The 15,447-nt window shown below is 37.0% G+C and overlaps 2 annotated features.

The window, feature by feature from the left end:
• Nucleotides 8,548-9,047: an enhancer, noted in NCBI's record as "H3K4me1 hESC enhancer chr2:114859599-114860098 (GRCh37/hg19 assembly coordinates)". NCBI's record gives its function as "activates a minimal SCP1, AML or CMV promoter by ChIP-STARR-seq in naive H9 embryonic stem cells {active_cell/tissue: H9 hESC(naive)}" and the evidence as "EXISTENCE:reporter gene assay evidence [ECO:0000049][PMID:30033119]".
• Nucleotides 9,048-9,549: an enhancer, noted in NCBI's record as "H3K4me1 hESC enhancer chr2:114859097-114859598 (GRCh37/hg19 assembly coordinates)". NCBI's record gives its function as "activates a minimal SCP1, AML or CMV promoter by ChIP-STARR-seq in naive H9 embryonic stem cells {active_cell/tissue: H9 hESC(naive)}" and the evidence as "EXISTENCE:reporter gene assay evidence [ECO:0000049][PMID:30033119]".

Raw genomic sequence — 15,447 nt, 5'->3', positions numbered from 1 at the left:
GGCAGAGTACAACTTTTTACTGTTTCTCCTGGGTCTAGTGAGACCCTGCATGTTTCAGAGTTGACTCCATTGGAGAAGGACAGGAAGAGAAGGAAGATTTTAACAGAAAGGTAGATGAAATGCCTGAATAGGCATTTCTCAAAAGACGACATACAAAACTATATAAGATGAGATATATATATATCCCCCAAATCATGACAAAGTTACACCCAGCTATTACGTGGGTATGAATGTGTATGTGTGGATGTGTGTGGCGGTATGGGGGTGTAATAAAATTGCTTCCCATCTTTGCCCTGCTAAACGCCAGCCCTAAACCATGGGCTTATCATCATCAACTTGAAGCTACAGGAAATTCTCTTTCACTATTAGTAGGAAACGTAAGCATATTTTCCCAGAGAAACAGCTGTCAGCTAAGCAGAGCTCTGTGGGGTCAATAACACAGAAAGATATAAAAATAGATCTAGCTTTATCTGTGTATTTTATTATCTCTATGCATTTTATTATAAATATATCATCTGTGTATTTTTGTGTATATATATATGTATATATATATGTGTATATATATATGTATATATATATGTGTATATATATATGTATATATATATGTGTATATATGTATATATATGTGTATATATATGTATATATATATGTGTATATATATATGTATATATATATGTGTATATATATATGTGTATATATATACGTATATATATATGTGTATATATATATATATATATATAAAACTTATGACACAATATGTTTAAATGGCGAAGATACTCCTGGTGGTTTCTTTGGGTGAACTGTTAATAGAACACTTTTTTTTTTTTAACACAAACTGCATTGATCCCTAGATGCCGTAAAGATTTTCCTCCACTATTGAGGCTGATGCAAAGGAGCGGAACAGGAAGACACAGATGATGATGATAAGAAGAACCTCCGTGGAAAACAGTATGGAGATTTTTCAAAGAACTAAAAATAGAACTATTTGATCCACCAGTCCCACTACTGGGTTATCTAACCGAAAGAAAAGACATCATTCTATCAAAAAGATAACCTGCACTCATGATTATCAGAGCACTATTCACAATAGCAAAGCTCCATTCATGTTGCTGCAAAAGACATGATTTTATTATTTTTTTTTATGGCCGAGTAGTGTATTTTTCCACATTTTCTTTATTCTACCATCCACTGATGGACACTTAGGCTGATTCCATATCTTTGCTAATGTGGTCTGCGGAATGCACAGAGAGCTGGGCTCCCAAGGGCAGGCACAAGCACCAGCTCTGAGAAGGTCTGAAGGACAGCCACCAAACACCAGAGACATGCCCAGGCACAAGCAGAGAAACTGCCACTGCATCAAGTTCTCCACACAAGAAGGGAGGGGCAGCCCAAGCCCCTAATTCAAGCGAGCAGGTGCACTAAATGCCTAGAGATATAACCAGGTGAGGTGCAGAGAAACCACTGCAGCACCAAGTTCCTTGCACAGGAAGGGAGGGCAGCCCAAGCTCCTAATCCAGATGAATGGGTATGGGATCCACATCCCTGTTACTCCTCAGAACCAGAGGAGCTCACTCCTCCATTTGATCAAGGGAGGAAGCTGAGGCACCCAGCATTGTCACATGCAGACTGGCCCCAGGTCGCAAAGTAGTTCTTCTTTGCAAATCTCACTGCGCAGACAAAATCACAGTATGGAGATCTTCAGCAAATCTCCTATTCCAATCCTGCAAATGGAGAGAGTCAAACTCTAGCACCTATGGCTGCAGTGCATTCCACACTGGCCACTCAATTCTGACTGTGGGAGCCCTTCCCCCACTCCAGGCCAAGCACTCCAGTCTCTAGCCTGAGACTCAAATTCCTGCAGCAGCCCTTGCTGCCAGGCCACTGAACACTGCCCAGCTTGGGATAAATCCAGATTTAGAATGACATCCTCCCATTGGTCTCAGGACTAGAAAAATGTCTGCAGCCTTTGTCTCAGTGTCTTTCCCTCCACAGTCTCTTGGCCTCTCCTCAAGTTACCTCCAAAGCGTGGGAGGGACAAGGTGCTCTTCCATGGCCTGAGTTGTAGGAATCCCTAGTACAAAGCTGGATTACAGAGGGAGACTCTCCACCTCCTCACATACCAGGGCTTCACTCACAGGTCTCAGCCAAATACCACCACGAAGTCTGCTTGCTGACTTTCTCTTCCCCAAGATCTAAAGTGACCTTCACTTTTCTGGTGAATTCCCAAGTTTCTTCTTGAATAAAAGCTCACAATGCAAATCTCTACACACTTTTTTGTTATTTCCAAGTTGGTGAGGCATGCTGATAAAGCCTCTAATCTGCATCTCGGGGGCAAAAATCACTTTACTGTGATTGCTAATTAAAATGCATATTTCTTTGTTTTACTAACTAAGCAGAGTTCTTCTGTTATGTTAAATGTAAGTAATGCAACCCAATGTTACTGACCAAATGATGATGACATGTTAATGAATGTAATTTCCACAAAAGAATCTTGCTTTGCCCTTTAACAGGAATTAAAAATGCCTCAATCCAAAGGATTAATAATGAAGATTTCAGGGGTGCCTGGACAGGGTAGCTGGTGAGAAATTTGGAAGTCTTGAACAGAGCATATAACATGCGCATTCATGTACATAATAGTGATTAAGAGTTCAGGCACTGGATTTATTCTGTCTGATCTCAATTCCTGCCCTGCTGTGTTAGCTTGAGAAAGTTACCTAAATTCTTAACCATTCTGGGCTTCTATTTTCTTCCCTGAAAAATAAGAATAATAGGGGTGACATTCGTGAAAATGGCAAACTAAGGCCCTCTGAAAATTCTCTCCTTCATAAAAGCAATGAGAAATATTGAAAAAAAAATTATCAGAATCAACTCTCTCAGAACACTGGAAACTAACCAAAGGCTTACATCAATCCAAGGAGTTGTTATTCAAAAATTAAAAGTGGCTAAATCTAGGTAAGGTCAGTGGGCTCTAGGACATTTTAACTTTCCCTTTCCCAGTCCAGCTTCAGTATAGCCTTGACTTTTAGCAGTCCATGATCATGGTGCAAGCCAGCAGCATGGCAGCCATGGAAGGGGCAGAGCAAGGTTGGGGCTCCTACAAAGCTCCATTCACAGAGAATTGTAATGATTTAATCTATCTGGTGGTTCTTTGGAAGGCTCTAGTTGCAAGGTTGTCATGCACCTTGCTCATTGTGAACAGCCTTTTCTTCTTGGTCATTTCTCAGAAACCATCATAGGCAATTGTTTAACTCTGTGGTTGCCTGAAGTGGTAGATACAGTTAGAGTAACAATAGGCTGACAAAAAAGCTTAAAAGGAAAATCTGGGTAGTAAGATATCTATGCAGGGATTTGAACAGCTCTAACATATTTCTGATAATACAGAAGGCCACGTGTATGGGTAGGCTAAGCTTGCAGGTAGAGCTGTACACATGCTCAAAAGAGACATGAGAAGGACCTAAACTCTTACCTCTGGATAACCTTAACACTCTACACAAGTAGGAGGTAAAGGCTAAGGTGTAGCTGTAAACTGCCTGTTTGAATGTTAAAAGCATGCACCAACATGAGAACAGAGACCCCTCAGCAGAGACTGGAAGACTTACTGGCTCTAGTCATTTAGGAAGATATTTAGCCAATTATTAGCTGATCACTAACATAACCAAGCAGAGAGTTCAGTAACCATATAGGACAAAAAAATACAGAAAAAATAATATTAGTTATGAAAGTCACTAAATAAACAAAAACAACAACCAATAAAAAAAGATGAGGTAAAAATATAATTTCCAGAATCAACACATTATATTATTTAAAAATTCAATTTTCAACAAAAAATTATAAGACAGGCAAACAAACACAAAGCCATGGCCCTAAGAAAATAACCAAAAAATAAAATAAAATGCTTTTTAAGACTAAATTTAACCAAGGAGGTAAAAAAGTTGTATACCTAAAACTATAAAGCATTGATCAATCAATGCTTTATGGCTTTAAATATAGTCAAGAAGACACAAATAAATGGGAAGACATCCCATGTTCATAAATCGAAATAATAATGTTAAAATGTACATACTACCCCAAGTGATCTACAGATGTAATGCAATCCCTGTTAAAATTCCAATGTTATTCTTCACATAAATAGAACAAAAACTCTAAAGTTTATATAAAACCATAAAAAAACCCAATTGCCAAAGCAATCTTGAATGAACAGTACAAAGCTTGAAGCATCACACTACCCAACTTCAAAATATTGGGATTTAAAAACAGACACATTAGTCAACGGAATCAGATAGAGAACCCAGAAATAAATTAACATAATTAACATCTGTGGTTAAGGAATTTTTAATAAAAGTGCCAAGAACACACAATGGAGAAAGGACAGTCTCTCTAATAAATGGTGTTAGAAAAACTGGTTATCTACATTCAGAAGAATGAAATTGGACCCATATCTCACCATTTATATAAGAATCAACTCATTATAGATTAAAGACTTAAATATAAGACCTAAAACTATAAAACTACTAGAAGAAAACATAAGGAGGTAGTTACATGACATTGGCTTGGGCAGTGATTTCTTGCATATGACCCCAAAATCACAAGCAACAAAAGCAAAGAGACAAACTGGATTGCATCAATCTAAAAAGCTACTGCATAGCAAAGGAAACAATTGACAGAATGAAAAGACAACCCTCAAATTAGGAGAAAATATTTGCAAATCATACATGAGCTAAGGGGCTCATATCCAAAATACATAGGCAACTCAAACTACTCAATAACAAGAAAGCAAATAACCCTATTTTAAAAATGGGCAAAGGACCTGAATAGACATTTCTCAAAAGAATACATACAAAAAGCCAACAAATATATGAAAAAAATATTCAACATAACTCATCATCATGAAAATGCAAATTAAAACCACAATGAAATACATCTCACATCTAATACAAGGTCTGTTATCAAAAAGATGCAAGATGTGTGTTGGTGAAGATGGAGAGAAGAGGCAACCATTATATACTGTTGGCAAGGAGGCAAATTAGTACAGCTATTTTGTAAATAGTATGGAGGTTCCCCAAAAAACTAAAAATGATGCAGCAATCACACTTCTGGGTATGTATTAAAGGGAATTAAAATCAACTTCTCAAGGAGCTAGCTGCATTCCTATGATAACTGCAGCATTGTTCACAATAGCCAAAATATGGAAATAACCTAAGTTCCCATCAACAGATTAATGGATTTTTTTAAATACATGATATATACAAATGGGATACTATTCTGCCTTTAAAAAGAACAAAATTCTGTCATTTGTGACAACTGGATGAAGCTAAAGGACATTATGCTAAGTGAAATAAGCCAGGCACAGAAAGACAAATATCACATTATCTCACTTATATGTTGAATCTAATAAAGTTGAACTCATAGAAGTAGACAGAGGAATTGTAATTAACAGGGATTTGGGGAGGAGGAATAGAGAAAGAGGAATTTTTGGTCAAAGGATATAAAGTTTCAGTTAGGCAGGTGAAATGAGTTTTATTGCACAGCAAAATGACTACAGTTAATATTAATATATTGTGTATTTCAAAAATCACTAAAAAAGTGGAATTTAAATGTTCTAATCCCAAAGAAATGATAAATATGTGAGGTGTTGGATATGTTACTTAGCTTGATTTGCTCATTCTACAATGTATACATGCATCGAAATATCACATTGTACCCTATAAATACATACATTGTTATTTGTCAATTAAAAATAAAAATAATTTTTTAGAAAAGGAGGCATGGCCCATACACAGACACATACACACACACAACCCAAGCAGTCAATAGAAATTGTCCCTGAGAAAATTGAGATGTTAGACTTAACTGAGAAAGACTTTAAATTAGCTATTTTAAATATGTTTTTTAAAATACAGAAAACCATGTCTAAGGCACTAATGAATAATATTAGAACATGTCTCAGCAAATAGAGACTACCAATAAAAAGAAATTACTTTTTTACATAGATAAATACATATTTTGCAGTTGAAAAGTATAATACCTGAAATGAATACTTTACCAGACAGGCTCAAGAGCAGATTTGAGCAGGCAGAAGAAAAAAATCAGTGAACATAAAGATGGATCAATTTAAATTATCTAGTATGAGGGAGACAATGAAAAAACTAATGAGACCTCAGAGAGCTTTGTGCCAGTATCAAGTGGGCCAACAAACATATAATGGGAGTTCCAGAAGCAGAGAAGAGAGAAAGGGGAAGAAAGAATATGTGAAGAAATAATAGCTGAAACCATTTCAAATTTAATGAAAAACATTAATAACACACCCAAGAAGCTTATTAACTCCAAGTAGGATAAATTCAGATATTCATACCTAGACATATAAAATCAAACCATCAAAAGCCAAGGCAAAAAATTCTTGAAAGCAGCAAGAGAAAAACAACTCATCAGGTACAAAGGATTGCCAAAAAGATAACAGCTGATTTCTTATCAGAAACTATAAAGGCTAAAGAATGACATATTCACAGTGCCAAAAGAAAAACACTGTCAAGCAAGAATTATATATTCAACAAAACTAAACTTCAAAAATAAAGTTAAGTCATTCTCAAATAAACAAAAATTTAGAGAATTTATCACTAGCGAATCTTCTCTACCAGATATTCTAAATGTTGTCTTTCAGGCTGAAATTAATGGACTATAGTTAACAACTCAAACCTAATGAAGAAATTAAAAGCACTGTTAAAAGTACACAGGTAAAAGATAAAAGACAGTGTAAATATATTTTTAATGCTATTTTATCTTTCCTGATTTAAAAAGCAATTACATAAAGCAATAATTACAAATCTGTGTTCTTGGTCACAGTGTATAAAGATGTAATTTGAATAACAATAAGAGTAAAGGTAGGAAGAAGGAATAGAGCTAGACAGCGCTTTTCTATAATATTGTTATTAAATTGGTATTCATCTAAACTAGACAATTATAAGTTAGGACATTAATTGTAATCCACATGGTGACCATTAAGAAAATAAATTGAAAAATATAATAAAAATTAAAAATAAAAGTAGGAATTAAAATAGTATAGTAGAAAATATCAATTTAATGTAAAAGAAAAAAATAATGGGGAAATGGAACAAAAAGCACATAACACATATAAAAATATAGCAAAATGGGTGATATAATTCTTATGTTAATCATATTATATACAAATGTATTAAACATGCCAATTAAAAGGCAGAAATTCAAATAAGAGATTCATAAAAAAAGAGATTTATAATTCAACTATATGCTATCTACCAGAGACCCAGTTTAGATTAAAGACAAAAGTAAGTTAAAAGTGAAAGGATGGGAAAAACATACAATGTAAACAGTAATAAAAGGAGAATGGGAATAACTATTCTAATAGCAGACAAAATAGACTTTAAGTAAAAAAAAATACTAAGGACAAAGAAGGGCATTTTATAACTATAAAGAAGTCTATTCATAAAGAAGACAAAATAATTATAAACATGCATGCTCCCAACAACAGAGACCCAAAATACATAAAGCAAATTTGTACACAATTAAAGAGAGAAAAACAATTAAATAATGATAATTGGATAATGTATAATGTATTAGAAAAACAGAGATAACTAAGCAAATAGAGGAATTGAACAACACAATAAACCAACTAAACATAACAGACATGTATAGAACATTCGACCCAACAACAGCAGAATGCACATTCTTCTCAAATACAGAAGGAACATTCTCCAGGATAGACCATATAATAGGCCATAATGAAAGCCTTTGTAAATTTAAATAGAATGAAATCATACTAAGTATAATCTCTGACAATGGAATAAAATTAGAAATCATTAGAAAAAATTGAAAATCAAAAACTGTAAAAATTAACCTGCACAATTCTAAATAATTAATGAAAGAAAGAAGAAATCACAAGGGAAACAAGAAAATATTTTGAGATTACTGAAAACAAAATACAATATACTAAAACAAATGGCATACTATGAAAATAGTGCTGTGAAAAAATGTGTAGCTGTAAATGCCTACATAGAAAAAGAAGAAAGATCTTAAATCAATAACCTAAGTTTCCACCCTAGGAAACTAGAAAAAGGAGAGCAAACTAACCCCAAGGGAAAAAGAAGGAAGAAATCATAAAAATACAGTGAGAATTAATGAAGTAAAAAATAGAAAAACAATAGAGGAAATCAACAAAATCAAAAATTAGTTCTTTGAAAAGATGAACAAAATTGACAAATGTTAAGCTGACAAAGAAAAGAAAGAGAGAAAAACCAAATTAGTAGTTATGAAAGAAGGAAGGGGTCATTATTTTGGACCTTGCAGAAATAAAAAGAATTATAAAAGAATACTATAAATAATTGTGTGCCAACAAATTAGATAATCTAGATGAAATGGATAATTTCTAAGAAAATCACTCAGTACTAAAACTGACTCAAAAAGAACAGAAATTCTGAATAGTTCTCTAGCAAGAAAAGAGAGTGAATTAGTAATCAAAAAGCCTCACCCAAATGAAAGCACAGGATCAGGTGGCTCTACTGGTATACTCTAATGCCTAAAGAAGTAACACTAATCTTTCACAAACTTAGCCAAAAATTAGAAGAGAAGGGAGCACTTCTCAACTCATACTATGAAGCCAGCATTATCAAAACATTAAAACTAGACAAAAACAGCGTGAGCGAAGCAGAAGATGGGTGATTTCTGCATTTCCATCTGAGATACCAGGTTCATCTCACAAGGGAGTGCCAGACAGTGGGCGCAGGACAGTGGGTGCAGAGCACCGTGCACGAGGCGAAGCAGGGCGAGGCATTGTCTCACTCAGGAAGCATAAGGGGTCAGGGAGTTCCCTTTCCTAGTCAAAGAAAGGGGTGACAGATGGCACCTGGAAAATCGGGTCACTCCCACCCTACTACTGCACTTTTCCGACCGGCTTAAAAAATGGCGCACCAGGAGATTATATCCCGCACATGGCTCAGAGGGTCCTACGCCCACGGAGTCTCACTGATTGCTAGCACAGCAGTCTGAGATCAAACTGCAAGGCGGCAGCGAGGCTGGGGGAGGGGCACCTGCCATTGCCCAGGCTTGCTTAGGTAAACAAAGCAGCCAGAAAGCACCAACTGGGTGGAGCCCACCACAGCTCAAGGAGGCCTGCCTGCCTCTGTAGGCTCCACCTCTGGGGGCAGGGCACAGACAAACAAAAAGACAGCAGTAACCTCTGCAGACTTAAATGTCCCTGTCTGACAGCTTTGAAGAGAGCAGTGGTTCTCCCAGCATGCAGCTGGAGATCTGAGAACGGGCAGACTGCCTCCTCAAGTGGGTCCCTGACCACTGACCCCCGACCAGGCTAACTGGGAGGTACCCCCCAGTAGGGGCAGACTGACACCTCACACGGCTGGGTACTCCTCTGAGACAAAACTTCCGGAGAAATGATCAGACAGCAGCATTCGTGGTGAACGAAACTCCGCTGATCTGCAGCCACCGCTGCTGTTATGCAGGCAAACAGGGCCTGGAGTGGACCTCTAGGAAACTCCAACAGACCTGCAGCTGAGGGTCCTGTCTGTTAGAAGGAAAACTAACAAACAGAAAGGACATTAACACCAAAAACCCATCTGTATATCACCATCATCAAAGACCAAAAGTAGATAAAACCACAAAGATGGGGAAAAAACAGAGCAGAAAAACTGGAAACTCTAAAAAGCAAAGTGCCTCACCTCCTCCAGAGGAACACAGTTCCTCACCAGCAACAGAATAAAGCTGCACAGAGAATAACTTTGACGAGTTGAGAGAAGAAGGCTTCAGACGATCAAACTACTCCAAGCTACAGGAGGAAATTCAAACCAAAGGCAAAGAAGTTGAAAACTTTGAAAAAAATTTAGATGAATGTATAACTAAAATAACCAATACAGAGAAGTGCTTAAAGGAGCTGATGGAGCTGAAAGCCAAGGCTCAAGAACTACGTGAAGAATGCAGAAGCCTCAGGAGCCGATGCAATCAACTGGAAGAAAGGGTATCAGTGATGGAAGATGAAATGAATGAAATGAAGCAAGAAGGGAAGTTTAGAGAAAAAAGAATGAAAAGAAACGAACAAAGCCTCCAAGAAACATGGGACTATGTGAAAAGACCAAATCTACATCTGATTGGTGTACCTGAAAGTGACGGGGAGAATGGAACCAAGTTGGAAAACACTCTGCAGGACATTATCCAGGAGAACTTCCCCAATCTAGCAAGGCAGGCCAACATTCAGATTCAGGAAATACAGAGAACGCCACAAAGATACTCCTCGAGAAGAGCAACTCCAAGACACATAATTGTCAGATTCACCGAAGTTGAAATGAAGGAAAAAATGTTAAGGGCAGCCAGAGAGAAGGGTCAGGTTACCCACAAAGGGAAGTCCATCAGACTAACAGCGGATCTCTCAGCAGAAACTCCACAAGCCAGAAGAGAGTGGGGGCCAATATTCAACATTCTTAAAGAAAAGAATTTTCAACCCAGAATTTCATATCCAGCCAAACTAAACTTCATAAGTGAAGGAGAAATAAAATCCTTTACAGACAAGCAAATGCTGAGAGATTTTGTCACCACCAGGCCTGCCCTAAAAGAGCTCCTGAAGGAAGCACTAAACATGGAAAGGAACAACCGGTACCAGCCACTGCAAAAACATGCCAAATTGTAAAGACCATCAAGGCTAGGAAGAAACTTTATCAACTAACGAGCAAAATAACCAGCTAACATCATAATGACAGGATCAAATTCACACATAACAATATTAACTTTAAATGTAAATGGACTAAATGCTCCAATTAAAAGACACAGACTGGCAAATTGGATAAAGAGTCAAGACCCATCAGTGTGCTGTACTCAGCAAACCCATCTCACATGCAGAGACACATATAGGCTCAAAATAAAAGGATGGAGGAAGATCTACCAAGCAAATGGAAAACAAAAAAAGGCAGGGGTTGCAATCCTAGTCTCTGATAAAACAGACTTTAAACCAACAAAGATCAAAAGAGACAAAGAAGGCCATTACATAATGGTAAAGGGAGCAATTCAACAAGAAGAGCTAACTATCCTAAATATATATGCACCCAATACAGGAGCACCCAGATTCATAAAGCAAGTCCTGAGTGACCTACAAAGAGACTTAGATTCCCACACAATAATAATGGGAGACTTTAACACCCCACTGTCAACATTAGACAAATCAACGACACAGAAAGTTAACAAGGATACCCAGGAATTGAACTCAGCTCTGCACCAAGCGGACCTAATAGACATCTACAGAACTCTCCACCCCAAAGCAACAGAATATACATTTCTTTCAGCACCACACCACACCAATTCCAAAATTGACCACATAGTTGGAAGTAAAGCTCTCCTCAGCAAATGTAAAAGAACAGAAATTATAACAAACTGTCTCACAGACGACAGTGCAATCAAACTAAAACTCAGCATTAAGAAACTCACTCAAAACTGCTCAACTACATGGAAACTGAACAACCTGCTCCTGAATGACTACTGGGTACATAATGAAATGAAGGCAGAAATGAAGATGTTCTTTGAAACCAACGAGAACAAAGACTCAACATACCAGAATCTCTGGGACACATTCAAAGCAGTGTGTAGAGGGAAATTTATAGCACTAAATGCCCACAACAGAAAGCAGGAAAGATCCAAAATTGACACCCTAACATCACAATTAAAAGAACTAGAAAAGCAAGAGCAAACACATTCAAAAGCTAGCAGAAGGCAAGAAATAACTAAAATCAGAGCAGAACTGAAGGAAATAGAGACACAAAAAACCCTTCAAAAAATTAATGAATCCAGGAGCTGGTTTTTTGAAAAGATCAACAAAATTGATAGACCGCTAGCAAGACTAATAAAGAAAAAATGAGAGAAGAATCAAATAGATGCAATAAACAATGATAAAGGGGATATCACCACCAATCCCACAGAAATACAAACCACCATCAGAGAATACTACAAACGACCTCTACGCAAATAAACTAGAAAATCTAGAAGAAATGGATAAATTCCTCGACACATACACCCTCTCAAGACTAAACCAGGAAGAAGTTGAATCTCTGAATAGACCAATAACAGGCTCTGAAATTGTGGCAATAATCAATAGCTTACCAACCAAAAAGAGTCCAGGACCAGATGGATTCACAGCCGAATTCTACCAGAGGTACAAGAAGGAACTGGTACCATTCCTTCTGAAATTATTCCAATCAATAGAAAAAGAGGGAATCCTCCCTAACTCATTTTATGAGGCCAGCATCATCCTGATACCAAAGCCGGGCAGAGACACAACCAAAAAAGAGAATTTTAGACCAATATCTTTGATGAACATTGATGTAAAAATCCTCAATAAAACACTGGCAAACAAAATCCAGCAGCACATCAAAAAGCTTATCCACCATGATCAAGTGGGCTTCATCCCTGGGATGCAAGGCTGGTTCAATATATGCAAATCAATAAATATAATCCAGCATATAAACCGAACCAAAGACAAAAACCACATGATTATCTCAATAGATGCAGAAAAGGCCTTTGACAAAATTCAACAACCTTCATGCTAAAAACTCTCAAGAAATTAGGTATTCATGGGACGTATCTCAAAATAATAAGAGCTATCTATGACAAACCCACAGCCAATATCATCCTGAATGGACGAAAACTGGAAGCATTCCCTTTGAAAACTGGCACAAGACAGGGATGTCCTCTCTCACCACTCCTATTCAACATAGTGTTGGAAGTTCTGGCCAGGGCAATTAGGCAGGAGAAGGAAATAAAGGGTATTCAATTAGGAAAAGAGGAAGTCAAATTGTCCCTGTTTGCAGATGACATGATTGTATATCTAGAAAACCCCATTGTCTCAGCCCAAAATCTCCTTAAGCTGATAAGCAACTTCAGCAAAGTCTCAGGATACAAAATCAATGTACAAAAATCACAAGCATTCTTATACACCAATAACAGACAAACAGAGAGCCAAATCATGAGTGAACTCCCATTCACAATTGCTTCAAAGAGAATAAAATACCTAGGAATCCAACTTACAAGGGACATGAAGGACCTCTTCAAGGAGAACTACAAACCACTGCTCAATGAAATAAAAGAGGATACAAACAAATGGAAGAATATTCCACGCTCATGGGTAGGAAGAATCAATAGCGTGAAAATGGCCATACTGCCCAAGGTAATTTATAGATTCAATGCCATCCCCATCAAGCTACCAATGACTTTCTTCACAGAATTGGAAAAAACTACTTCAAAGTTCATATGGAGCCAAAAAAGAGCCCGCGTCGCCAAGTCAATCCTAAGCCAAAAGAACAAAGCTGGAGGCATCACACTACCTGACTTCAAACTATACTACAAGGCTACAGTAACCAAAACAGCATGGTACTGGTACCAAAACAGAGATATAGATCTGTGGAACAGAACAGAGCCCTCAGATATAACGCCACATATCTACAACTATCTGATCTTTGACAAACCTGAGAAAAACAAGCAATGGGGAAAGGATTCCCTATTTAATAAATGGTGCTGGGAAAACTGGCTAGCCATATGTAGGAAGCTGAAACTGGATCCCTTCCTTACACCTTATACAAAAATTAATTCAAGATGGATTAAAGACTTAAACGTTAGACCTAAAACCATAAAAACCCTAGAAGAAAACCTAGGCATTACCATTCAGGACATAGGCATGGGCAATGACTTCATGTCTAAACACCAAAAGCAATGGCAACAAAAGCCAAAATTGACAAATGGGATCTAATTAAACTAAAGAGCTTCTGCACAGCAAAAGAAACTACCATCAGAGCAAACAGGCAACCTACAAAATGGGAGAAAATTTTCGCAACCTACTCATCTGACAAAGGGCTAATATCCAGAATCTACAATGAACTCAAACAGATTTACAAGAAAAAAACAAAGAACCCCATCAAAAAGTGGGCGAAGGACATGAACAGACACTTCTCAAAAGAAGACATTTATGCAGCCAACAAACACATGAAAAAATGCTCATCATCACTGGCCATTAGAGAAATGCAAATCAAAACCACTATGAGATACCATCTCACACCAGTTAGAATGACAATCATTAAAAAGTCAGGAAAGAACAGGTGCTGGAGAGGATGTGGAGAAATAGGAACACTTTTACACTGTTGGTGGGACTGTAAACTAGTTTGAGCATTGTGGAAGTCAGTGTGGTGATTCCTCAGGGATCTAGAACTAGAAATACCATTTGACCCAGCCATCCCATTACTGGGTAGATACCCAAAGGACTATAAATCATGCTGCTATAAAGACACATGCACACGTATGTTTATTGCGGCACTATTCACAACAGCAAAGACTTGGAACCAACCCAAATGTCCAACAATGATAGACTGGATTAAGAAAATGTGGCACATATACACCATGGAATACTATGCAGCCATAAAAAATGATGAGTTCATGTCCTTTATAGGGACATGGATGAAATTGGAAATCATCATTCTCAGTAAACTATCACAAGGACAAAAAACCAAACACCGCATGTTCTCACTCATAGGTGGGAATTGAACAATGAGAACACATGGACACAGGAAGGGGAACATCACACTCTGGGGACTGTTGTGGGGTGAGGGGTGGGGGGAGGGATAGCATTAGGAGATATACCTAATGCTAAATGACGAGGTAATGGGTGCAGCACACCAGCATGGCACTGTATACATATGTAACTAACCTGCACATTGTGCACATGTACCCTAAAACTTAAAGTGTAATAATAATAAAATAAAATAATAAAAAAAAAACTAGACAAAAACATCACACAAAAGAAAATCACAGGTCAATAATCTTTATGAATATAGATACAAAAAGCCTAAACAAAATACTGGCAAACTAAGTCCAACAACATTTAAAAATCACTACGCACATGACCAAGTGGAATTTATCCCAGAAATGCAAGTTGGCTTCAACACACAAAATCAATCAATTTAATAAAATAAAGGACAAAAACCATATAATCATCTCAACAGATACAGGAAAAAAAATTTGACAAAACCCAACACTCTTTTATGATGAAAATGCAAAACAAACCAGAAATAGAAGGTGAAGTAAGCAGAATAATGCCCCTACATTGATGTCCATCCTATTGCAGAACCTGAAATATGTTACCTTACATGACCAAAGGGAGACAAAATAGACTTTAAGTCAAAAAATAATACTAAGGACAAAGAAGGGCATTTTATAACAATAAAAGAGTCTATCCATAAAGAAGACAAAATAATTATAAACATGTATGCACCCAACAACAGAGACACAAAATACATAAAGAAAATTTGTACAGAATTAAAGAGAGAAAAACAATTAAATAATAGTAATTGGAGAATTTAATACACCACTTTCAATAATGTATTAGAAAATAGTAGATATGATTAAATTAAAGGTTTTCAGATTAGGAAATAATCC

This window comes from Homo sapiens, chromosome 2, assembly GCF_000001405.40.
Source record: "Homo sapiens chromosome 2, GRCh38.p14 Primary Assembly".
Taxonomy (NCBI): domain Eukaryota; kingdom Metazoa; phylum Chordata; class Mammalia; order Primates; family Hominidae; genus Homo; species Homo sapiens.
Note: the sequence above shows the minus strand (reverse complement) of the source record. Positions and strands in the feature narration are given on the sequence as shown.